General features: G+C 58.1%; 2 protein-coding genes across 6 annotated transcripts, besides 3 other annotated features; both read left to right on the top strand.

The window, feature by feature from the left end:
* Positions 206–505: a silencer, noted in NCBI's record as "silent region_9933". NCBI's record gives its function as "represses an Ori minimal core promoter by ATAC-STARR-seq in GM12878 lymphoblastoid cells {active_cell/tissue: GM12878}" and the evidence as "EXISTENCE:reporter gene assay evidence [ECO:0000049][PMID:35858748]".
* Positions 211–505: an enhancer, noted in NCBI's record as "tiled region #11822; K562 Activating DNase matched - State 1:Tss". NCBI's record gives its function as "activates a minimal TATA promoter and a strong SV40 promoter by Sharpr-MPRA in K562 cells {active_cell/tissue: K562}" and the evidence as "EXISTENCE:reporter gene assay evidence [ECO:0000049][PMID:27701403]".
* Positions 13,118–13,577: an enhancer, noted in NCBI's record as "active region_13816". NCBI's record gives its function as "activates an Ori minimal core promoter by ATAC-STARR-seq in GM12878 lymphoblastoid cells {active_cell/tissue: GM12878}" and the evidence as "EXISTENCE:reporter gene assay evidence [ECO:0000049][PMID:35858748]".
* DUS3L (dihydrouridine synthase 3 like) lies at positions 13,300–19,323 on the top strand. 5 transcript variants are annotated; one of them, NM_020175.3, is made up of 13 exons: positions 13,300–13,419; positions 14,128–14,416; positions 14,744–15,256; positions 16,065–16,106; positions 16,287–16,439; positions 16,758–16,874; positions 17,102–17,167; positions 17,292–17,402; positions 17,618–17,714; positions 17,921–17,996; positions 18,672–18,860; positions 18,952–19,080; positions 19,188–19,323. In NM_020175.3, exons 1-13 carry the CDS (start codon positions 13,322–13,324, stop codon positions 19,258–19,260), a joined length of 1,953 nt encoding a protein of 650 aa, NP_064560.2. In that variant the 5' UTR covers positions 13,300–13,321; the 3' UTR covers positions 19,261–19,323. The 5 variants fall into 5 exon arrangements, 4 of the variants coding, with proteins under 4 accessions (NP_064560.2, NP_001155091.1, XP_016882509.1 ...); NM_001161619.2 differs by lacking the exon at positions 14,744–15,256 and having other exon boundaries at positions 14,128–14,203; XM_017027020.2 differs by lacking the exon at positions 16,065–16,106.
* A 393-nt stretch (positions 19,324–19,716) lies between these two features.
* Positions 19,717–21,503, top strand: PRR22 (proline rich 22). The gene is made up of 3 exons (NM_001134316.2): positions 19,717–19,932; positions 20,024–20,086; positions 20,410–21,503. The coding sequence occupies exons 1-3, from the start codon at positions 19,803–19,805 to the stop codon at positions 21,483–21,485; spliced, it is 1,269 nt and encodes a 422-aa protein (NP_001127788.1). The 5' UTR covers positions 19,717–19,802; the 3' UTR covers positions 21,486–21,503.
* The last annotated feature ends 897 nt before the right edge of the window (positions 21,504–22,400 follow it).

The raw sequence follows: 22,400 nt of genomic DNA, 5'->3' as shown, positions 1-22,400 counted from the left end.
ACTGAGGATTGGGGTGTCCCCCTCCAATCTCGTCCCAGGTTCTCCTTCCCCAGAAGCTGAAGAAGCCCCCTCCCAAGAAAGCTCTTCCAGGGAACTGAGACGCAAAGTCTTCCCCTCGGACGGATGACGACACCCGCTGTCCTCAGCGCCCCCCATCAAGCAGTAAGTCCCCCAGTGCGGCCTCAGAGCCCTGCAGGGGATTTCTCGCTCCTAGCTCCCGCCGGCGCCCCCTCCTGGCACCAAGGCTCACGGGCAGGGGAGCCCAAACCCACCCGGGCTCCTCCCCGACGGCTCCGCGCTCCCACAGCGCTCCCTGGCGGCGCCGGGCTAACTCGGGGACGGGACTGGGATGGCTGAGCTGGGCTGGGACTGCTGCGGCCCCGCCCCCGCCCCGCGGGGTGACCGAAAAACTCCCGCCCTGCAGACTCCTCCCCGCGCCGCCTGCGTTCTTGGAGCCCCCGTGCTCTGGTTTCTCGCTCCCGCCGCTGAGGTTCTTGGGGCCTCCTCCTCACTCCGGCCCTGGCTGCCTGCATGTTTCTGATTCCAGCAGCCTGGGGGTTCGCATGCAGATTAGGCCTTCCTAGAAGATCCCTAACCCCAACATATGCACGTCCCCACAAAGCGCCTGTAAAACTTGCGGGGCCGCGCAGTGCGCGCGGTGATGGGGACACTCACGCAGCCTCGCCTCCTGCTGCACGCGGGCTGATGCACGCGGTGCTGTGCACGTGCGCGGGGTGCGTGCTGGAATGTGAGTTGTGGGTGGGGGGACGAGAGAACGGACCTATGTCAGAGAAGTGGCAGCCTGTTCCCAGATCTAGGATGGAAGTTAACAGGGATCTGTGTTCTGTGTGGCCTTGGGCCTTCCCCCCCGTGCCTCAGTTTCCCCACTTGTAACAGGGTATTACTAGTAGATCTTCACTGTGTTCTAGTAAGGACTGAATGAGTGTGAACAAGCTTGTATAAGTAATGAGTAAATGTGAATAAGTAAGTGAGTAAGCCTGGCAAGTTGGGGGTGATGTCCCAATGTCTGCCATTACTAGTGTTCCCAAATGTTCACTCCCAGAAACCCACTCCCAGTGACACACATACCCTAACCTCAAACACACACCCTCAAACCTTTATTCCCGGTGGGGTCACCCCCCCTGCCATCTCTCTTTTTTTTTTTTTTTTTTTTGAGACGGAGTCTTGCTCTGTTGCCCAGGCTGGAGTGCAATGGCATAATCTCGGCTCACTGCAACCTTCGCCTCCTGGGTTCATGTGATTCTCCTGCCTCAGCTTCCCAAGTAGCTGGGACTACAGGCGCGCGCCACCACGCCCAGTTTAGTAGAGAAGGGGTTTCACCATGTTGGTCAGGATGGTCTCGATCTCTTAACCTCGTGATCCGCCCGCTTCGGCCTCCCGAAGTGCTGGGATTAGAGGCGTGAGCCACCGCGCCCGGCCTATCTTTCCTTCTCACACAAACCTAGACGCCCTAGTGAGCACAGACACTCCTGCACTGTCACACCCCGCCCCACCCCCGGGTCCTCACACGCAGACACACGCTGACACAACCCCTCCACGAGTATCTCACAAGGTCACGCGTACACTCTCCTGCGGGGGTCCTTCCTTACCCCACGCCCTTCTGAATGCACTCATGCCCACAGACCCGGGGTTCACTCAGCCCGACACACACACACACACACACACACACACACACTCTCAGCAGATCCTTACACACCCCCACGCTGCCTGGCACTGGTTAGTACACACACACACACCCACACACACACACAGACACACACATACACCCCGGGCCCCGTCTGGAAGGCACAGCCACCCCTGCACACACACAGCAGGGCCAGGAGCCCACCCCCACCCCAGCCCTCCATCATTAAGCTGTCACCAGCTGCCCCTCCACTGCCTCCCGCTCACCCCACACCGCCTGTGCCCCCTCCCCGCCGCGGCTGGGGGCCATGGGGGCGGGGGCCGAGCAGACACATGGGGCGCAGGACACACACACATGTGCCCACCATGTGGACGCTTGTAAAACGGTTGCCCCGGCAACAGCGACTTGAAAGAGTTGGTTCTTCCTCTGGGATTGGGGGGAGACGCTAGGGGCGTGTCCAAGGTAGGGGGCGGGGCGGGGCGCAGGAGGTGGGGACGCGAGGACCTACGCCCAGCTACAGCCATTCCACTCAGGGACACACACGCTGAAACAACCACACACGTGGTTGGAGACCCCGTCGCACCGGGGGACACGGAGACCCTGCCTTGCTCAGCCCCATGTGGTCACACCAGGAACACAGTTCCTTCCATCCTGACACCCTCCCAAATCACCCGCACACTCTCTCTGTCACCAACCCACATGCTATCTCACCCCCTGTGACAGGCGGTGACAGACACCCTGTCACACTCGCTGACCCACACCAAAGCCGGGAACTGAGGTGCACAGGGACACACGGGCCCCTCCAGGATCCCTCCACCCCCTATCCCAGAAAGGAACCCAGGGACCAGGACTCTCCATTAACACCCCTCTGTGAGCTAGGTGCAGTGGCTCATGCCTGAAATCCCAGGGCTTTAGGAGGCTGAGGCAGGAGGATCAATGGAGGCCAGGAGTTCGAGACCAACCTGGGCAACATCCGGAGACCCCCATCTTTACAAAATAAAACTTTTTTCAAATTAGCTGGGCGTGGTGGTGCACGCCTATATTTCCAGCTATTTGGGAGGCTGGGGCAGAAGGACCCCAACCCAGGAGGTCAAGGCTGCAGTGAGCTATGATCATACCACTGCACTCCAGCATGGGTGACAGAGCGAGACCCTGATCCCCCCCCCCCAAAAAAAAAACAAAAAACAGCCCTCTGAATTCCACCCCTTTCCAAGAAACTGTCTGGGCTTGGCTGCCCGGGAGGCCAGGGAACTCAGAGGCTGGCTCTATTTGCAGGAAACAAGGGTATTTACAATGCTTTATTTTTAAATCTTTTTTGTCCCAGACTTGGGCTGCCGCAGGGCGGGCCGGATGTCGCCAAGTACTGAGCCTCTCTTTCTTCAAGTGCAGCCTGTGTGTAGGATCTGTGGTCTTCCCAGAGCACAGATATGGGGAAACTGAGGCTCAGAGAGGAGCAGGAAGGCACCTGACCTTTTGTTTTCTTTCTTTCTTTCTGGATACAGGGTCTCACTTTGTCACCCAGGCCGACGTGCAGTGGCGCCATCATAGCTCACTGCAGCCTTGACCTCCTGGGCTGAAGCGATCCTCCTACCTCAGCCTCCGTGTAGCTGGGACTACAGATGTGCACCACCGCACCCAGTTAATTTCTTAATTTTTTAGAGAGATGGGGTCTTGCTGTGTTGCCCAGGCTGGTCTCCAAATCCTGGGCTGAAGCAATCCTCCCACCTCAGCCTCCCAAAGTGCTCGGATTACAGGCATGAGCCACCGTGTCTGGCCCAGGCAGCTGACCTCTTTGACTGATTCAAGCCTGCTGGCATCAGGGTCAAGGCCGAGGCAGGGGTGGAACCGTGCAGCGGTGGCTGAAAACCATATCCCAAAGCCTGCCTGCCCTTTCTGGTGTTTGCCTGGAAATTAGTTCTGCTCGTTCACTGCCTCCACTCCCTGCAACACTCACCCCACCTCCACCTGCTCTCTGCCCACGTGGTGGTTGTGAAACTCAGGGATCAGAGAGGTCAAGCCACTAACCTAAGGTCACAAGTAAGGAAAAAGCTGCAAAGTGGGGCTGGATGACTGTACCACGCTCCACCCCTGTCCTCCCGGAGGCTGGCCCCCTGCCCTCCCCAGGAGGCCACTGCTCCCAAAGGGAGTGATCTGTTCTTGGGTGGAGACTCCAGGGCAGAGGTTCTGGGAGGCCGGGGGCCGCTGGCCAAGACTCAGACTTGGCTGCTGGAGAAGTTTCCATCTTAGCGCCAGGAGTTGGGCCAGGTTCTGGGGGCTTGGGCTGCACCTCAGGACCCCCGGGGACCAGCCCTGTGGGGGTGGAGGTGGCTGGATGCCCACTGTGTCCCCTGGCTGGAGCACTGGCCATCCCAGCACACTGGGCACCACCCCAGCCTCCAGTGTGTTGGTGACTGAGCTTATGGGGTCTGTTTCCCCATCTGCCAAATGGCTCCCACGTTTGTTCTGTGCCCAGCACTGGGCATGTAATATGTTACCAGAGGTGGGTGCTGTCATTCTCCCGTGGAGAGGGAAAGGGACTTACCCAGGACACTGGGACAGCTGAGGGCTCCCCAGAAACGATGTTTTGGGGCTACTGATTCAACGGTCACTCTCACCCCAGGCCCAACCCATGCCGAGCACACACAGAGGCCTCAGCTCAGGCAGAGGACACAGAGCTGGAGACACACTCCCGGGCGGGGGTCAGGCTGGCCCGGAGCAAGGTCCCCGGGAGCTGGGTTAGGAGCCCGCCAGGCGGGGATGGGACCCACAAGGCCTGTGGGTGGCAGGAAGGGGCCGGCCCGTTCCAGGTGAGGATGGTGAAAACAGGGCCAGCAGCTGTCCCCACAGGACCATTTACAGCCACAGGTCGCAGGTCAAGGGGCCCGTCCCTGGGGGCCTTAGGTCAGCAAGGTGGGAAAACCATCAGGCCCACCAAGGAGGCCAGGGCAGGGGAATAGAGTCTCAGGAGCAAGGTTGTGCAAGCAGGGAGCTGGGCTGGGGTTGTGCGGTCTCGTGTGGGACATAGCAGTGGCTGAGTGGCTCTTCTCAGGAACTCACAGTGGCACCAACATTCATGCATACCCACACACAAACACACAGACACACACATACAGAGTCATACATAGGCCACAGCCACCAAGGTATATACACAATCCCTCATGCACCTTCATAACACACTAGACAGACACACAATCACGCAGACACACAATGGCACACACACAGGCCTCCCCCAAGTCATGCATCCACGGCAGTCTGGCTCCCACATGCACACACACTCAGGGACATGCGCTCGCACCCGGCTCCCCCGCTCTCTGCCACCTCCCGCCCACCCGCCTGCCCTGCCATCTCGCGTCCTTGGCCCGGGCTGCCCTAATCCCAGGCTCCTGTCCTGAAGCCAGGAGATAAGGAGCAGCTGCAGCCACAGATAAAGGAGTCGCAGCCACAAATCCGGGGCGGCCGCGGCAGCATCGGGCACTGAGCCCGGGGCCGCACCTGCCCTGCTGCTGCCACCCCCATCCGGCCTGGGCGAGAGGGCTGCGGAGAGGGCAAGAGGGGGACACAGAGTGGGGGAGAGACTGAGGAGCATGGAGGGAGGGGGAACTAGAGAGAGAGAGAGGGAGAGATGCAGAGAAAAATTCGAGAGATTCGAGAGGGTCACAGAGAGAAGGAAATACAGAAAGAACTAGAAATGTTTTCTGAGTTAGAAACAGGAAGAATAGGTTGAGCACAGTGGCTCATGCCTGTAATCCCAGCAGTTTGGGAGGCTGAGGTGGGAGGATTGCTTGAACCCAGGAGTTTGAGACCAGCCAGGACAGCATGGCGAGACCCTATCTCCACAAAAAATACAGAAATTAGCCAGGCATGATGGTGGGCGCCTGCGGTCCCAGCGACTTGGGAGGCTGAGGCGGGAGGATTACTTGAGCCCAGGAGGTTGAGGCTGCATTGAGCCGAGATCATGCCACTGCACTCCAGCCTGGGTGGAAGAACAAGATCCTGTCTCTAAAAAAAAAGAGAGAAACAGTGGCCGGGCACGGCGGCTCATGCTTGTAATCCTAGCACTTTAGGAGGCCGAAGTGGGTGGATCACTTGAGGTCAGGAGTTTGAGACCAGCCTGGCCAACATGGTGAAACTTCATCTCTACTAAAACTACAAAAAATTACCTGGGCGTGGTGGCGGGCACCTGTCAGCCCAGCTACTTAGAAGGCTGAGGCAGGAGAATCGCTTAAACCTGGGAGGAGGAGGTTGTAGTGAGCCGAGATCACGGCACTGCACTCCAGCCTGGGCGATGGAGCGAGACTCCGTCTCGAAAAATAGTAATAATAATAAGAAAGAAAGAAGGAAGGAAGGAAGGAAGGAAGGAAGGAAAAGAAAGGAGGGAGGGAGGGAAGGAAGGAAGGATAAGGGGGAGAGAGAGAGAGAAAGAGAGACAAAGAACAACCAGCTGGCGACTAAACAAAGAACCACCAGTTGAGTCCCCAGGCCCTGCTCCACCCCTACCTGGGTGCCTCAGTCTCCCCACCTGCTCAGGGGCCCCAGGACCACCAACCTCCATCCTGCCTCCTCCAGGTTAGTCAAGGACAGTCCAGGCCTGGTCCAGGATCGGGGGGCATATTCCTCAGTGTCCCCACACACTGTACAGTGACACCAATAGCTTGAGCCAGGGCCCTTGGGAAGCCCTCAGCCCCCTCCCTCAGCCTCAGTGAAGGTGGGATTCTCTAGGGCAGGCTCTGCACCCCTGTGCCTCAGTTTCCCCAGTCATGGTAAGACGCATTCACTCGGCAAGTGTCCACGGAGCACCTCCTGTGTACCAGACCCTGTGCTGGGCGCTAGGGACACAGAGGGACTAAGCTAAGCCCGTTTCCCACCCTCTCTGGGCTCATCGTCCAGTGGGAAAGACGGGCATGTGGCCAGGCATCCCCAGTCCTGCCGGGGCCCTGATGGGGGGCCATTCAGAAAGCTGCAGAGCCCAGGCCACGCGCGGTGGCTCATGCCTGTAATCCCAGCACTTTGAGAGGCCGAGGTGGGCGGATCATGTGAGGCCAGGAATTGGAGACCAGCCCGGCCAACATGGTGAAACCCCATCTCTACTAAAAATACAAAAATTAGCTGGGCGTGGTGGTATGCACCTGTAATCCCAGCTACTAGGGAAGCTGAGGCAGGAGAATCACTTGAACCTGGTTGGCAGAGGCTGCAGCGAGCTGAGATTGCACCACCGCACTCCAGCCTAGGCAACAGAGTGAGACTCTGTCTAAAAAAAAAAAAAAAAAAAAAGAAAAAGAAAGAAAGCTGCAGAGCCCAAAGTGGGTACTGAACCCACCCTGAGCAGGGGACAGTCAGGGAGGTATTTTTTTTTTTTTCAATACATAGTCTAGCTCTGTCACCCAGGCTGGAGTGCGGTGGCCCGATCTCAGCTCACTGCAGCCTCCACCTCCCAGGTTCAAGTGATTCTCATGCCTCAGCCTCCCAAATAGCTGGGATTACAGGGGTGTGCCACCACGCTCGGCTAATTTTTGTCGTGTGTGTGTGTGTGTGTGTGTGTGTGTGTTTGAGACGGAGTCTTGCGTGTGTGTGTGTGTGTGTGTGTGTGTTTGAGACGGAGTCTTGCTCTGTTGCCCAGGCTGGAGTGCAGTGGCATGATCTTGGCTCACCACAACCTCTGCCTCCCAGGTTCTAGTGATTCTCCTACCTCAGCTGCCCAAGTATCTAGGACTACAGGTGCACGCCAACATGCCCGGCTAATTTTTGTATTTTTAGTAGAGACAGCGTTTCACTATGTTGGCCAGGCTGGTCTCGAACTCCTGACCTTGTGATCTGCCTGCCTTGGCCTCCCAAAGTGCTGGTATTACAGGCGTGAGCCACCACACCCAGCCTCCAACTTTTTTTTTTTTTTTTTTTGAGAGGGAGTCTTGCTCTGTTGCCCAGGCTGGAGTGCAATGGCATAATCTCGGCTCATTGCAACCTGCACCTCCCAGGTTCAAGGGATTCTCCTCTCTCAGCCTCTTGAGTAGCTGGGACTACAGGTGCGTACCACCATGCCCGGCTAATTTTTCTATTTTTAGTAGAGACAGGGTTTTGCCATGTTGGCCAGGCTGGTCTCGAACTCCTGACCGCATGATCCGCTCACCTCGACCTCCCAAAGTGCTGGGATTACAGGCATGAGCCACCGCGCCTGGCTCCGGCCTCCAACTCTTTCTGCTTGATTGCTTGAGGCCAGAAGTTCAAGACCACCCCGGGCAACACAGCAAGAACCCATCTATAGGAAAAATAGAAAATTTAGCCAGGCAAAGTGGCATGAGCCTGTAGTCTGAGCTACTTGGGAGGCTAAGACAGGAAGATCATTTAACCCTAAGACAGGAAGATCACTTAACCCTGGGAGTTCGAGGCTGCAGTAAGCTATGATCCCACTCCAGCCTGGGCCCTGTCTCTGAAAAAAAAAGAAGAAGAAGAAGAAGAAGAAGAAGAAAGGAGGAGGAGGAGGAGGAGGAGGAGGAGGAGGAGGAGGAGGAGGAGGAGGAGGAGGAGGAGGAGGAGGAGGAGAAGGAGGAGAAGGAGGAGAAGGAGGAGAAGGAGGAGAAGGAGGAGAAGGAGGAGAAGGAGGAGAAGGAGGAGAAGGAGGAGAAGAAGAAGAAGAAGAAGAAGAAGAAGAAGAAGAAGAAGAAGAAGAAGAAGAAGAAGAAGAAGAAGAAGACGGCTTAGAATGGGGCCTGGTACCCAGAAAGTGTTCAGTAATTGTTCAGCTACTGGTAAACAATATTATACCACTACAATAATATAATAATGGCCAGGCGCGGTGGCTCACACCTGTAATCCCAGCACTTTGGGAGGCTGAAGCAGGTGGGTCACGAGGTCAGGAGTTCCAGACAAGCCTGTCCAGCGTGGTGAAACCCTGTCTCTACTAAAAATACAAAAAATTAGCCAAGCATGGTGGCATGCGCCTGCAGTCTCAGCTACTCGGGAGGCTGAGGCAGAATTGCTTGAACCCGGCAGGCGGAGGTTGCAGTGAGCTGAGATCGGGCCACTGCACACCAGCCTGGGCAACAGAGTGAGACTCTGTCTCAAAAATAATAACAACAATATAATAATAATAATAATAATAATAATAACAATAATAATAAATTATATATATTAGTAAACAGTTGATGTTATTTTATTCATATTAATATCATACTTAAAAATTGGCCAATCCACAGCCCTCCTCCTACAGGAAGCCTTCTGGGATTGCCTTACACTGAGGAGGTGGAGTTATCACACGGCACAGCCAGGCAGCCCTGGGAGATCTCTTCTTCAAGGCTGAGGCCCAGAGAGAGGCCACATTCCTCAGGTTGCCTTTTGTGGGCCTCAGTTTCTGCCATCTGACAATTGTCTCCTCAAAGCTGTCTGGGGTAGTAGTGACATGATAAGAAAGAAAAGTGGGAGAACCTCAGAGGGGAACGGAAAGGCACCCCTGGAGGGAGGAGTACCCATCCCTGGATGGTGGACAAGCCCAGCTGGACAAGAAGTCTCACCCCGGCCAGGCGCGGTGACTCACACCTGTAATCCCAGCACTTTGGGAGGCCAAGATGGGTGGATTGCCTGAGGTCAGGAGTTCGAGACCAGCCTGGCCAATATGGTGAAACCCCATCTCTACTAAAAATACAAAATTAGCCAGGCATGGTGGCGGGTGCCTGTAATCCCAGCTACTCAGGAGGCGGAGGCAGGAGAATGGCTTGAACCCAGGAGGCGGAGGTCGCAGTGAGCTGAGATCGTGCCATTGCACTCTAGCCTGGGCAACAAGAGCGAGACTTAATCTCAAAAAAAAAAAAAAAAGTCTCACCCTGACTGCTTTGGTTTCTTCTGGTTTTATTGATTTATTTTTAATTTTTATTATGTGTATATATATATTTTTTTGAGACGGGAGCTCACTCTGTTGTCCAAGCTGGAGTGGAGTGGCACGATCTCAGCTCACTGCAACCTCCGCCTCCCGGGTTCAAGTGATTCTCATGCCTCAGCCTCTCCAGTAGCTGGGATTACAAGCACCTGCCACCACACCCGGCTAATTTTTGTGTATTGTTAGTAGAGACAGGGTTTCAACATGTTGCCCAGGCTGGTCTTGAACTCCTGACCTCAAGTGACTCAACCGCTTCGGTTTCCCAAAGTACTGGGATTACATAAGCCACCACACCTAGCCATTTATTTATTTATTTTTAGAGACAGGGTCTCACTTTGTTGCCCAGGCTGGAGTGCAGTGGCACAATCGTAGCTCACTGCAGCATCGACCTTCCAGGCTCAAGCAATCCTGCCTCAGCCTCCCAAGTAGCTAGATCCACAGGTGCATGCCACCTTGCCCAGCTAGTTTTTCCATTTTTTTTGCAGAGAAGGGGTCTCCTCTCTAAGTGGCCAAGGCTGCTGGTCTGGAACTGCTGGCCTCAAGCGATCCTCCTGTCTCCAAAGGGCTAGGATTACAGCATTAAGCCAAGGTGCCCGGCCTTTTGCACTTTTAGATTCCCGGGTTCCACCGTTTTATTCCCAGGTTGTCCTACAGAGGGCAGCCAAGGCCAGAGATGGAAGACAAACTGCCCGCTCTCCCCTCAACTTTCTCCCAGGTCCTGTAAAAGCAGGTTCCAAGCCTGTTGTGGCCTCGGGCAAATCCCTTCCCTCTTTGGGCCTCAGTTTCCCCATCTGTTTTTGTTTCTTTTTTTTTTTTTTTTTTTGAGACAGAGTCTCTCTCTGTCACCAGGCTGGAGTGCAGTCGCGCGATCTTGGCTCACTGCAAGCTCCACCTCCCATGTTCAAGCGATTCTCCTGCCTCAGCCTCACAAGTAGCTGGGATTACAGGCGTGTGCCACCACACCCAGCTAATTTTTGTATTTTTAGTAGAGACGGGGTTTCACCATGTTGGCCAGGCTGGTCTCGATCTCTTGACCTCGTGATCCGCCCGCCTCGCCCTCCAAAAGTGCTGGGATTACAGGCGTGAGCCACCGCGCCCAGCCTAAGGGAGATACTTTTATCTGGCCCATTTTATTGATGAGGTGACTGGGGTATGAGGGGGCTAAATGAGATGCCCAATGTTTCCAGCTGGTAAGTGGAGGGGCGGGGATTCAAACTTGGCTGAGTCCAGAACCCTGAATTTCCTGTGCACACCAAAGCTTCTCCAGGAATAGGGAGTTTTAGGGGGCACAGCAGGGCTTGGTGGGGACGCTGGGAAATGCTGAGTAGATCCAGCTTTCCTTGGCGCACAGCCTTCCGTGGCTCTCATTTCACTCACGTAGAAGAAGACCAAGTCCTTCTCAAAGTGCACTGGGTCCTGCAAAACCTGCACCTTTTCACCTCCCTCCCCTGGCCTCCTCCTTCTGTCCTCCTTGGACTCTCTGCTCCAACCACATGGGCCTCCTCAATGTTCCTCCAACATGCCAGGACGTTTCCTCCTGCCTCAGGGCCTTTGCACTGGCTGTTGCCTCCACCTGGGACACTTTTCCCTCTGATATCCCTACAACTCTCTCCCACAGCTCTTCCAAATACTCTCAAACATGACCTTCCCCAGGAAGCCTTCCCTTGCCAGCCTGTTAACAACTGCAACTGCAGCAGTGAGCTATAATTGCGCCACTGTACTCCAGCCTGGGCAACAGAGCAAGATTCTGTCTCAAAAAATAAATAAATAAGTCTATTTTTAAAAATAAATAAGTAAATAAATAAATTTAAATAAATAAATAAACTCTGTCTCTCAAAAACAATTAAAATGTGGCTGGGTGCGGTGACTCACACTCAAGGCAGGTGGATCACTTGAGGCCAGGAGTTTAAGACCAGCCTGGCCAACATGATGAAACCCCATCTGTACTAAAAATACAAAATTTAGCCAGGCATAGTAGTGGGCGTCTGTAATCCCAGCTACCTGGGAGGCAGAGAAAGGAGAATCGCTTGAACCGGAAAGGTGGAGGTTGCAGTGAGCCGAGATCGCGCCACTGCACTGCAGCCTGGGTGACAGAGCGAGACTTCCTCTTAAAAAAAAAAAAAAGAAAAAAATTCCAACAGCCAAGGGTGGCATTCCCAATCCACCTTACTGCTTTATTACCTACTCACTTACGGTTTAATTTACTTATGTACAGTTGACCCGCGAACAACGCGGGTTTGAATTGCATCCATCCACTTATAAGTGGCCTTCGAAAAATAAAATACAGTTGGCCATCCGTATCCGCGGGTTCTTTAACCCCTACCAAATGCGGAGGCAGGATGGGAAACCTGCGGATACAAAGGGCGGATTTTTCCTATACAGGGATTCTGTTGGGCAACTGGGGGACGAGTATACGCGGATTTTGGTATATGCGGTCTTGGAACCAATCTCCAAAATTCCGAGGAGTATTATGTTTTTCGTCTGTGTTTCCGACTCCCAAGTTAGCTCTTAAAGGTAATGATTTCTCCGTTTTGTTTACTACCACGCCCCCAGCATCTAGCACAGCATCTGGCATACAGATGCTCAACTAATTATTTGTTGAAACTAATGTCCTGCATAAAAGTAGTGTAATTTACTTTTTTTTTTTTTTTTTGAGATGGAGTCTTGCTCTGTCGCCCAGGCTGGAGTGAAACGGCCGATCTCGGCTCACCGTAACCTCCGCCTCCCAGGTTCAAGCGATTCTCCTGCGTCAGCCTCCTGAGTAGCTGGGATTACAGGCGCCCATCACCATGCCTGGCTAATTTTTGTATTTTTAGTAGAGACGGGGTTTCGCCATGTTGGCCAGGCTGGTCTCGAACTCCTGACGTGCCCACCTCGGCCTCCCAAAGTGCTGGGATTACAGGCGTGAGCCACCACACCCGGCCTTATTTATTTATTTATTTAGAGACAGTCTCGCTCTGTCCCTCAGGCTGGAGTGCAATGGCGTGATCTCAGCTCACTGCAACCTCCACCTCCCGGGTTCAAGCGATTCTCCTGCCTCAGCCTCCCAAGTAGCTGGGATTACAGGTATGTGCCACAACGCCCAGCTAATTTTTTATATTTTTAGTGGAGACGGGGTTTCACCATGTTGGCCAGGCTGGTCTCAAACTGCTGACCTCAAGTGATCCGCCCGCTTCGGCTTCCCAAAGTGCTGGGATTACAGGCGTGAGCCACCGCTCCCGACCCCTAATTTACATTTTTAAAAACCCTAGCAGGGGCCGGGAACCATGGCTCACGCCTGTAATCCCAATGCTTGGGAGGCCAAAGTGGGAGAATCGCTTGAGCCCAAGAGTTCAAGATCAGCCTGGGCAACCTGGCAAGACCTCGTCTCTACAAAAAATTTAAAAATTATCCAGGCCTATTGGTGCATGTCTGTAGACGCAGCTACTTGGGAGGCTGAGGTGGGAGGATAGCTTGAGCCCAGGACGAGGCTGCGGTGAGTCGTGATCGTACCGCTGCACTCCAGCCTGGGCGACAGAACGAAACCGTTTCAACAGAACAACAAAGACAAAAACCTCCAAAACACCCTAACAGTTAAATTTCCTCAGTCCAGAAGCTGATTGCAGTCCAGTTCGCAATTGGCCAGGCTCTAGTTTATATAGGACCTGAGGCTCCACCCATGTGCAGGCACCGCCCCCGTGGCGTCACGAGCGAGCAATGGCGTCATTGGAACGACATGAGCATGCGCACTTCCCCAGCACAATCAGGGAAGACACGCGTGACCCGGAAGGTCTTCCCGCCACACTCCAGAGCGGATGTGAGGGGCGCCGATGGCGGAGGGAACGGCGGAGGCTCCTCTAGAGAATGGTGGTGGTGGCGACTCGGGAGCCGGAGCTTTGGAACGAGGAGTGGCGCCCATTAAGCGTCAGTGAGTCGCCGGGGCAGGAGGGAAGCTGAAGGGCCTTTTCCGGCACCCATAGCGCGGTCCGAGCTGTGCATGCCGGGAGATTAGGCAGCGGCTGAGGGCGAGAAGCCACCGGCTCTTCATTCCGGGCCGTTCTTCCGCCTGCAGGGTGGTCAGCGGAGGTACCTGAGATCGTGCACGTTGGGGCCTGTCACATGCGCGAAGGACACCACGTGCATGCTAGGGCAGGTGGGATTTGAGGCCAGGCCCGCGCTGCATACTGGGGATTGTAGTCCCTGCATATGGACGTACGGCGCATGTGCTCTGCCAGCGGCCGTTACTGGCGGGTCTTGGGGTTGAAGCGAGTGCCGCGGGGCGTGCTGGGGCCTGCGGTGTTTGAAGGGCCGAAAGGCGTGCTGGGAAATGTGGTGGCTTAGACTCCGCTTCAAGGCATGCTGGGAATTGTAGTTTTTCGCAGCCTAACGTGCGCAGGGACGTTCTTGACTGAACCTGATAATAGTTTCGCGCAACACTTTGGACAGTGAGGACCCAGGGACAAAATAGGTCTTTTTTGAGGCCGTGAGGGGCTCCCAGGCTGGGAGCTGGCTGGTTCTTAAGTAGTGAGCTCCCCATCAGCAGAAGGATTTAAGGACGTGCAAGTGTTTCTAGCCTCCTTTCCCCAGTGTTTATTGACTATGTTCGGAGGGTTTTCCTTTCCCTTTCTGTCGGCAGATACCTCACCACCAAGGAGCAGTTTCACCAATTCCTGGAAGCCAAAGGGCAGGAGAAGACTTGCCGGGAAACCGAGGTAGGAGACCCTGCTGGCAATGAGCTGGCTGAGCCTGAGGCTAAGCGGATCCGACTGGAGGATGGACAGACGGCGGACGGGCAGACGGAGGAGGCAGCAGAGCCCGGGGAGCAGCTACAGACTCAGAAGAGGGCCCGGGGACAAAACAAGGGCCGGCCCCATGTGAAGCCCACGAACTACGACAAGAACAGGCTGTGTCCCTCCCTAATCCAGGCAAGTGCGGCCACGTGAGCATTCCTGCCGGGGCAGGCAGGAGCAGGGTGTGTTTCCTGGCAGCGGGTAATTGTTAGAAAGCTCCTGGGCCTTCAGCAACGAGCAGTGAGCTTGCTCTGATGCCATTCCGTCTTCATTCTCCTCGGGATACATTGTAGGGCTTGTCATTGTTCTCATTGTATAAATGGAGATGCAGAGGCACGGTGAGGTGCCTGACTTGCTCAGGGACACAAGAGCCAGGAGGGGTGATCTAGAGTTTGAACCCTGGCTGCTGGGCTGCCCCGGGGTCTCCCTGTCCTCCCTCACTGCTTCCCTGTTTCCTCGCAGGAGTCGGCTGCTAAGTGTTTCTTCGGTGATCGCTGCCGCTTTCTGCACGACGTGGGGCGCTACCTGGAGACCAAGCCGGCCGACCTGGGCCCCCGCTGCGTGCTCTTCGAGACCTTCGGCCGGTGCCCCTACGGCGTGACCTGCCGCTTCGCTGGGGCCCACCTGAGGCCCGAGGGACAGAACCTGGTGCAGGAGGAGTTGGCGGCCCGCGGGACCCAGCCCCCGTCCATCCGCAACGGCCTGGACAAAGCCCTGCAGCAGCAGCTGCGGAAGCGCGAGGTCCGCTTCGAGCGAGCTGAGCAGGCCCTGCGCCGGTTCAGCCAGGGCCCCACACCCGCTGCCGCTGTCCCCGAGGGCACGGCAGCCGAGGGCGCTCCCAGGCAGGAAAACTGTGGTGCCCAGCAGGTCCCCGCAGGGCCGGGCACTAGCACCCCTCCCAGCAGCCCCGTGCGGACCTGCGGGCCCCTGACGGATGAGGACGTGGTCAGGCTGCGGCCCTGTGAGAAGAAGCGGGTACGTGTTGAGGACAACGTCAGTAGCAGATCTGTCCATCTGGTGTGCGTCTATTAAATACCAGCTGTGTCCACGTTCCTGTTCTAGCTGCCTGGGAGTCAGAGGCTGTGTGCCTTGAGGGAGCTCCTGGCTGAGTCTCCCTCTCTGTGCTCTGTCCTGGGCCCAGCCCTCAGGAGGTGGGGACAGAAAGAGCTGGACAGGGCCGGGGGCGGTGGCTCACGCCTGTAATCCCAGCACTTTGGGAGGCTGAGGCAGGCAGATCATTTGAAGTCGGGAGTTCAAAACCAGCCTAGCCATCATGGTGAAACCCTATCTCTACTAAAAATACAAAAATTAGCCGGGCCTGGTGGCGGGCACCTGTAATTCCAGCCACTCAGGAGGCTGAGGCAGGAGAATCACTTGAACCCAGGAGGCGGATGTTGCAGTGAGCCAAGATTGTGCCACCGCACTCCAGCCTGGGCAACAGAGCAAGACTCTATCTCAAAAAAAAAAAAAAAAAAAGAGCTGGACACACTCTAAGTCTCAGAGGGTCAGGGTCGGGCAGCGGGGGACAAATGTGGGAGGCTTCCTGGAAGAGGGGGCATTGGGACTGGGTTTGGATGGTTAAGTAGAAGCTCTCCAGTGGAGGAGACGATGAGGAAAGGAACATTCCTGATGAAGGGATTGATTGGCACATGCAGAGGCCCAGCAAAGGAGCCAGACCATTTGGGCCAAGTGTGTCCTAGACTGTGGGTAGAAGGGAGGCTCCAGGGCCTCAGCAGCTGGGGTGGAGGCCAAGCTCCACTTGTGTGTATTTTTTTCCCTCCAGCTGGACATCCGTGGCAAACTTTACCTGGCCCCCCTCACCACGGTAGGACCTGGGTCAGGTGGCTGGTCGGGTGGCAGGGTGGCAGTGTGGTCATTCCAACAGGGCTTAGTGTCTGTCCCCACCTACTGGATTGTGGGGCTGGGGCGCATATTCAGGGTTCTGCTGTGTGTGTGTGTGTGTGCGCGTGCAAGAGCATGTGTGTCTGTCCTGCTCCCCCCGCAGTGTGGGAACCTGCCCTTCCGACGGATCTGCAAGCGCTTCGGGGCGGATGTGACATGTGGAGAGATGGCCGTCTGCACCAACCTGCTGCAGGGCCAGATGTCCGAGTGGGCCCTACTCAAACGCCACCAGTGTGAGGACATCTTTGGCGTCCAGGTCAGTGCCCACCCCGAGGGAGGGAGAGTGGAGGGGCCCTCGGCCGTCCTGTCTCAGAGCCAGGTTCCAGGTCTGCCCTGGTTGCCTCCCTGACCCCCTGGCCTCAGCTGTGGAGTGGGGGTGATGCCCTGATCCACCTCTGGGGGCTGATGGCCGTGGCCGGGGACCGGTGCCTCGCAGACAGACCTTGGCTCCTTCCGGGGAGGCCCCGAGAGAGGAGGCCACTGGCTCAGGGCCCCCCAGTGGGGAGGGAACGGCCAAGTGGGGACAGTTCGGACTCTCCCCTCACCCTCCTGTTCTGCCACTACCCACCTACAGCTGGAGGGCGCCTTCCCCGACACCATGACCAAGTGTGCCGAGCTGCTGAGCCGCACCGTGGAGGTGGACTTTGTGGACATCAACGTCGGCTGCCCCATCGACCTCGTGTACAAGAAGGTAGCGGCCCTGGACGTGTGCCTCGGTTTCCCCATCTGGGCAGGGAGGCACTGACCCAGCCGGCGATGTCTCGGTGGAGGGTCAGGGGTTTGGGCTCAAGTGTGGCCCTGGAGTCCCTGCCTTTCCTGCAGGTCGGCGTCTCCTGGTGGGGGCCTCCGGGCAGCAGGGGTGAGGGGTCTTGGGTCAGCCCACGTCCTGCCCTCCCTCCACCCGCCTGTCTCTTCCAGGGTGGGGGCTGTGCCCTCATGAATCGCTCCACCAAGTTCCAGCAGATCGTCCGTGGCATGAACCAGGTACGGCCAGCCACATCCTCGCACTGGCTCCCAAACAACTCCCCCGGGCCCTGTCTCCCACCACCTCCCACCGTCTCCCACCACCTCCCACCATCTCCCACCACCTCCCACCACCGTCCTGTAGGTGCTGGATGTGCCGCTGACTGTGAAGATCCGCACAGGCGTCCAGGAGCGTGTGAACCTGGCGCACCGCCTGCTGCCCGAGCTGCGGGACTGGGGCGTGGCACTCGTCACGGTGGGTCTTGGGACGCCTCGGGCATTGGGGCCTCGCGGTCGACCCCGCGTCCCTTCCTAATGGCTCCTCTCCTCCCATCCCTCCCTCTTCACCTCCACACCTCCCTCTGTCTCCGCCTGTGTCTCTCTCTGTCTCTCTCAGCCTGGCTCTCTTGGTCTCTTCCTCTCTGCGTCTCACTCTCTGCCTCCTACCCTGCGTGGCGGCTTCTCCCCCAGCTCCACGGCCGCTCTCGGGAGCAGCGCTACACCAAGCTAGCCGACTGGCAGTACATCGAGGAGTGCGTGCAGGCCGCCAGCCCCATGCCCCTGTTCGGTGGGTGTTCCGGGAAGCCACCTCCCTCTCCCCTACCACCCTTGGTCACTCACACCTCTGGGCTGTTCGCCTTCCCACTTGGGACCCCCTCGTACCACCCTGATGGGAGCCACTGGGTCAGCCAAAACTCCTGAAGGGCTGGTGAGCAGAACTCCAGGGTCCCACCTGCCCATGTCTCCCTGAGACCCCAGCCTCTGTCTCCTCAGGAAATGGGGACATCTTGTCATTTGAGGATGCCAACCGCGCCATGCAGACTGGTGTCACCGGGATCATGATTGCCCGGTAAGTGCCCAGGGATGTTAGAGATCCAGCTTCATGCACAGCAGCAGTGCCCTGAACCCAACACGCCGTCACCCACCCCTGTTCTGTGGTGGGCTGTTGGTCCCAAGATGGGAGGAGCAGAGAGCGATGTCAGGAGTTGCAGCTGCGTTGCGGCAGAGGGGACTGGAAATTGCTGCTGCTGTGGGATCTGATGATTGTGGGTTGAAAGTCCTGGGCTTTGGCCAGGTGTGTGGCTCACGCCTGTAATCCCAGCACTTTGGGAGGCCAAGGCACGCCGATCATTTGAGGTCGGAGGTTCAAGACTAGCCTGACCAACATGGTGAAACATCTCTATTAAAAATACAAAAATTAGCCAGGTGTAGTGGTACACGCCTGTAATCCCAACTACTAGGGAGGCTGAGGCAGGACAATTGCCTGAACCTGGGAGACGGAGGTTGAACAGTGAGCCGAGATCTTACCACTGCACCCCAGCCTGGGCGACAGAGCCAGACTCCGTCTCAGAAAAAACAAAAGAAAGTCCTGTGCTTTGAAGGTTGTGTGCATGCAGCTGGGAGGCTTACTAGGCTTGTAGGTTTTGTGGTCTGGGCTCCGGCTCAGGCCAGGCCATGGAAGCAGAGGCCACACGATCCCAGGCAGGCTGGTGGCTGGGCCCACTGATCGTCACCCGTCCCACAGTGGCGCCCTGCTCAAGCCGTGGCTCTTCACGGAGATCAAGGAGCAGCGGCACTGGGACATCTCGTCGTCCGAGCGCCTGGACATCCTGCGGGACTTCACCAACTACGGCCTGGAGCACTGGGGCTCGGACACGCAGGGCGTGGAGAAGACCCGGCGCTTTCTGCTCGAGTGGCTGTCCTTCCTGTGCCGGTGGGCACCGGGGCTGGCTGGGGTGGGCGGCGCGTGGGCCGCGGCTGGTTAGAGCTGACTCAAGCCTGTCCTGCCCGCCCACCCGCCGCAGGTACGTGCCCGTGGGGCTGCTGGAGCGGCTCCCACAGAGGATCAACGAGCGGCCGCCCTACTACCTGGGCCGCGACTACCTGGAGACGCTGATGGCCAGCCAGAAGGCAGCCGACTGGATCCGCATCAGGTGCCTGGGTGGGCTGGAGTTGGGGAGCTGCAGTCGGGGGCCCGGGGTCACGGAGGGTACTTTGCAGGTCCTGGGCCTGACCTCGCTTTCCACCTGCTCTCCCACAGCGAGATGCTCCTTGGGCCAGTGCCCCCCAGCTTCGCCTTCTTGCCGAAGCACAAGGCCAACGCGTACAAGTAGCCTCAGGCTTTCCCAGGGGCACCCTGGGGCGAGGAGAGTACAATAAATTTTATTCTTTTAAAATCCAGGCCTTTCTGTGACCCTGAAGCAGCCCCTCCTCGGCCCCCACCTTCCCCAAACCTCTTAGCTGCCTCCATGGGCCCTGCCCCAAGCTGGGTGCTGCTGGTGCCCAGAGAGGCCTTGACCCCCAAGAAGGTAGCGGGTTGAGGACCCGGGGGGCCTCAGCCTGTGTGGGTGTGGATCAGGGCAGCCTGCCTGGAGGAGGCGGCCTCAAAGCTGTTAGGGGGGTGTTGCTGGAAGAGGCAAAGGCCTGGCCCAGAATCCTCCCTCCCATGGTGATGACCATGTCTGCCAACGTCTGCCCCTGCTTGCCCCCAACACCCAGAACCCCAACCAGTGGGCGCGCTGCAGGCTGGAACCCGCTGCCCCGAGTAACCAGGCAAACAGAACCCCACCAGGTTCTCAGCCTGTTCTCCGGTTGGGCCACTTGCACTCCCACTGCCGCCCTCCTGGCCTGTCTGGACCGGGCCCCCCGCTGCCCCATGCAGCACCCCAAACCGTTCTGTGCCCCTGCAGCTCCCCAGGAAGGTTTCAGCCCGCAGAGTCTGGAGGGGGCTGAGGTGCTGGGCAACCAGCCTGCTCCCACCTGTGCCGAGCCTCCTCCCGCTATGGGTACGATCGGGTGGGTGGGAGCACCTGCTGGAGAGGGTTCAGGGGCCCACCCGCCTAAGGGCCCTACCCACCTGGGCACCTTTGTCCACAGGCTCCTTGAACCTGTATCATCCCCCAGACCCAGAGAAAGAGGTGTTTCCAGCCCCACCAGCAGGTACCGGCCTCCCCTGAGCCCTTGACGAGGCTGGGAGTGGGTTTGAGTGTGCAGGCCCATCTTGCCCCTGCCCCGTCCCTAAGTGGGAGCCTGAAGGCATGGCCTCTGCTCCCCATGCTTCACACAGGTCCCCCAGATGAGCCCCAAAGACAAGCTCTGTGTCATCCATCACCCAGCCAGGGCCCCAAAGCAATATCTATGTCGTCCCCCAAAGGGGCCCCCCAATGGCAAGGTTCTTGTGGCATCTCCCAAACAGGCCCCCAGGCTTGGGCTGGGCCCCTCAGGCAGCAGCTGCTCTCAGGGCACCCGCCTGCCGCCCACAGGTTTCCAGATGGCCCCATGCGGGTGCTTCTTCGACCCCCGCATCTATCGGATCGAGTGGACCACCCCCGACCTGGGCCAGTCAGCCCTGTATAAGCTGGCAGCAAGCAGCGGGGGGCCAGCGGGGGTCCCCTCCGCCCCAGGCAGCTACCTCCTGGAGCCTCAGCCCTACCTCAAGGCCCCGGGGCTGCCTCCATACCCCCACTACCAGCAGGCACCCGGGGGGCCCCAGTTTCTCTTGCCCTACTTCCCGCCTGAGGGCCCCGGGCCAGAGGCTCTGGGTTTTGTGGGGGACGCAGGGCCCGCCGCCTTCGTGGAGCTGCCCCTACCGCCCCTAGAGGAAGGCCCGGCCCCGCTGCCACCCCCACCCCCCAAGGAGAACAAGCCGCCCCCTGTACTCATCACGCTGCCTGCAGAGCCCACACTGCCCCCAGACGCCTACAGCCACCTCCAGGGTCACCTCGGCCACTTCCCTGGGCCCGAACCCCTGGCCTTCCCCGTCAAGGAGCTGCAGGGCAGTGGGGCCCGACCTGGGGTGCCCCTGTACCCACCGGGCCTCAGCGAGCTCAAGGTGGCCGAGGTCAAGGAGGGGGCCCTGCTGGGAGCAGGCAAGGCCAAGGCCCCCAAGACGGCCAGAGCTTTGGCACTGCCTGACAAGGTTCTGCTGGAGGACGCCATGAAGCTCTTCGACTGCCTGCCAGGCGCCTCTGAGCCTGAGGGTACCCTGTGCGAGGTCCCTGGGCCGGCCCTGCCTGACAGCAGTGGTGGGAACTCAGCCGATGACATCCGCTCGCTGTGCCTGCCCGAGGAGCTGCTGTCCTTTGACTACAGCGTGCCTGAGATCCTGGACACCGTGTCCAACGTTGACTACTTCTTCAACTTCAAGGCGCTCGACGAGGAGCAGCCGCCCCACCCGGGGCCCCCTGCCACCAACACCCCGGCCCCCATTCTGTCTGGCAAGAGAAAGGCCTCGACGGCCAAGAAGGGAAAGCCGGGAAGGAAGGCCAGGCAGCCGGCAGGCCCAGCCAGCGCCACTCCCCCGGGGCCCAGGGAGGACCTGGGAGCCACCCCGCATTAAAGCACATTTGACCTTTCAGCTCCATGTCCACGTGGGGGCCTTGGGGATGGGGAGGGGGCTGGAGATGCACGCCTGGCCCCTCACCCCATCATCCCGCGGACTGGCAAGGCAGCGCCCCCGGCCTCACAGTGAGGCCTCTTAGCAGGGGAGCCCCGGAATCACAGGACACCCTAAACTCCTTGAGTCCCAGCCCTGGAACATCAGACTCCTCTGGCAGAGGCAGGGGCCTCCTGGGGCACGAGGGAGCTGACCCCCAGACTCAACGCGTTCTAAGGGTTTTCACCCCTTTGTTTGGTGGGGGAAAGCAAGGCTGCCCAGAGCAGCAGGAACTTCCTTGGAGACACACAGCCATCAGGGCAGGGCTTGAGGAGCATCCTCCAGATCCCCACCCAGCTGCCTCCTGTCCCCAGGAAGCCACAGCCACTGCAGGCAGGGCGGGAAGGGCCACGCTCTTGTTCAGACAGACAGGTGGGTGCAGGGGCTTCACCTGATGGTCTGAGGGTGGGGGCTGGGGCAGGGATGAGACAGTGCCCACGCGTGAAGGGGTGGGGAGCACACGGCACCCAGGGGGCCTGGCATGTGCACCCAAGATGGAGACAGGAGACAGCACCTGGAGCCCAGGAGAGGGTCAGGGGCCCCACCCGGCCACACTTCGGGGTCCGGGGTGGCAGGGACAGCCTGGCTACTCGTTCCAAAATGGGATGGGCCCAGCCTCGGAAGAACGACCTCCGGGTGCTGGTTCCCGTCACTGCTTACCCACATCAGGGTCTCGAGAGCCCTCCTGGGGGTCCAGGCAGTGGCCACCTGTACCCTCCTCCCCTGAAACGCTCATGGTGGCCCTGGAGAGGCTGACCCCATTCCCCCAGGGACACATAAGGAAACAGGAGGTCGAGTGCCATCCAGCGCCTCCTGGGA

Source organism: Homo sapiens, chromosome 19, assembly GCF_000001405.40.
Source record: "Homo sapiens chromosome 19, GRCh38.p14 Primary Assembly".
Lineage (NCBI taxonomy): Eukaryota > Metazoa > Chordata > Mammalia > Primates > Hominidae > Homo > Homo sapiens.
This window is presented reverse-complemented; position numbering and strand designations above follow the sequence as displayed.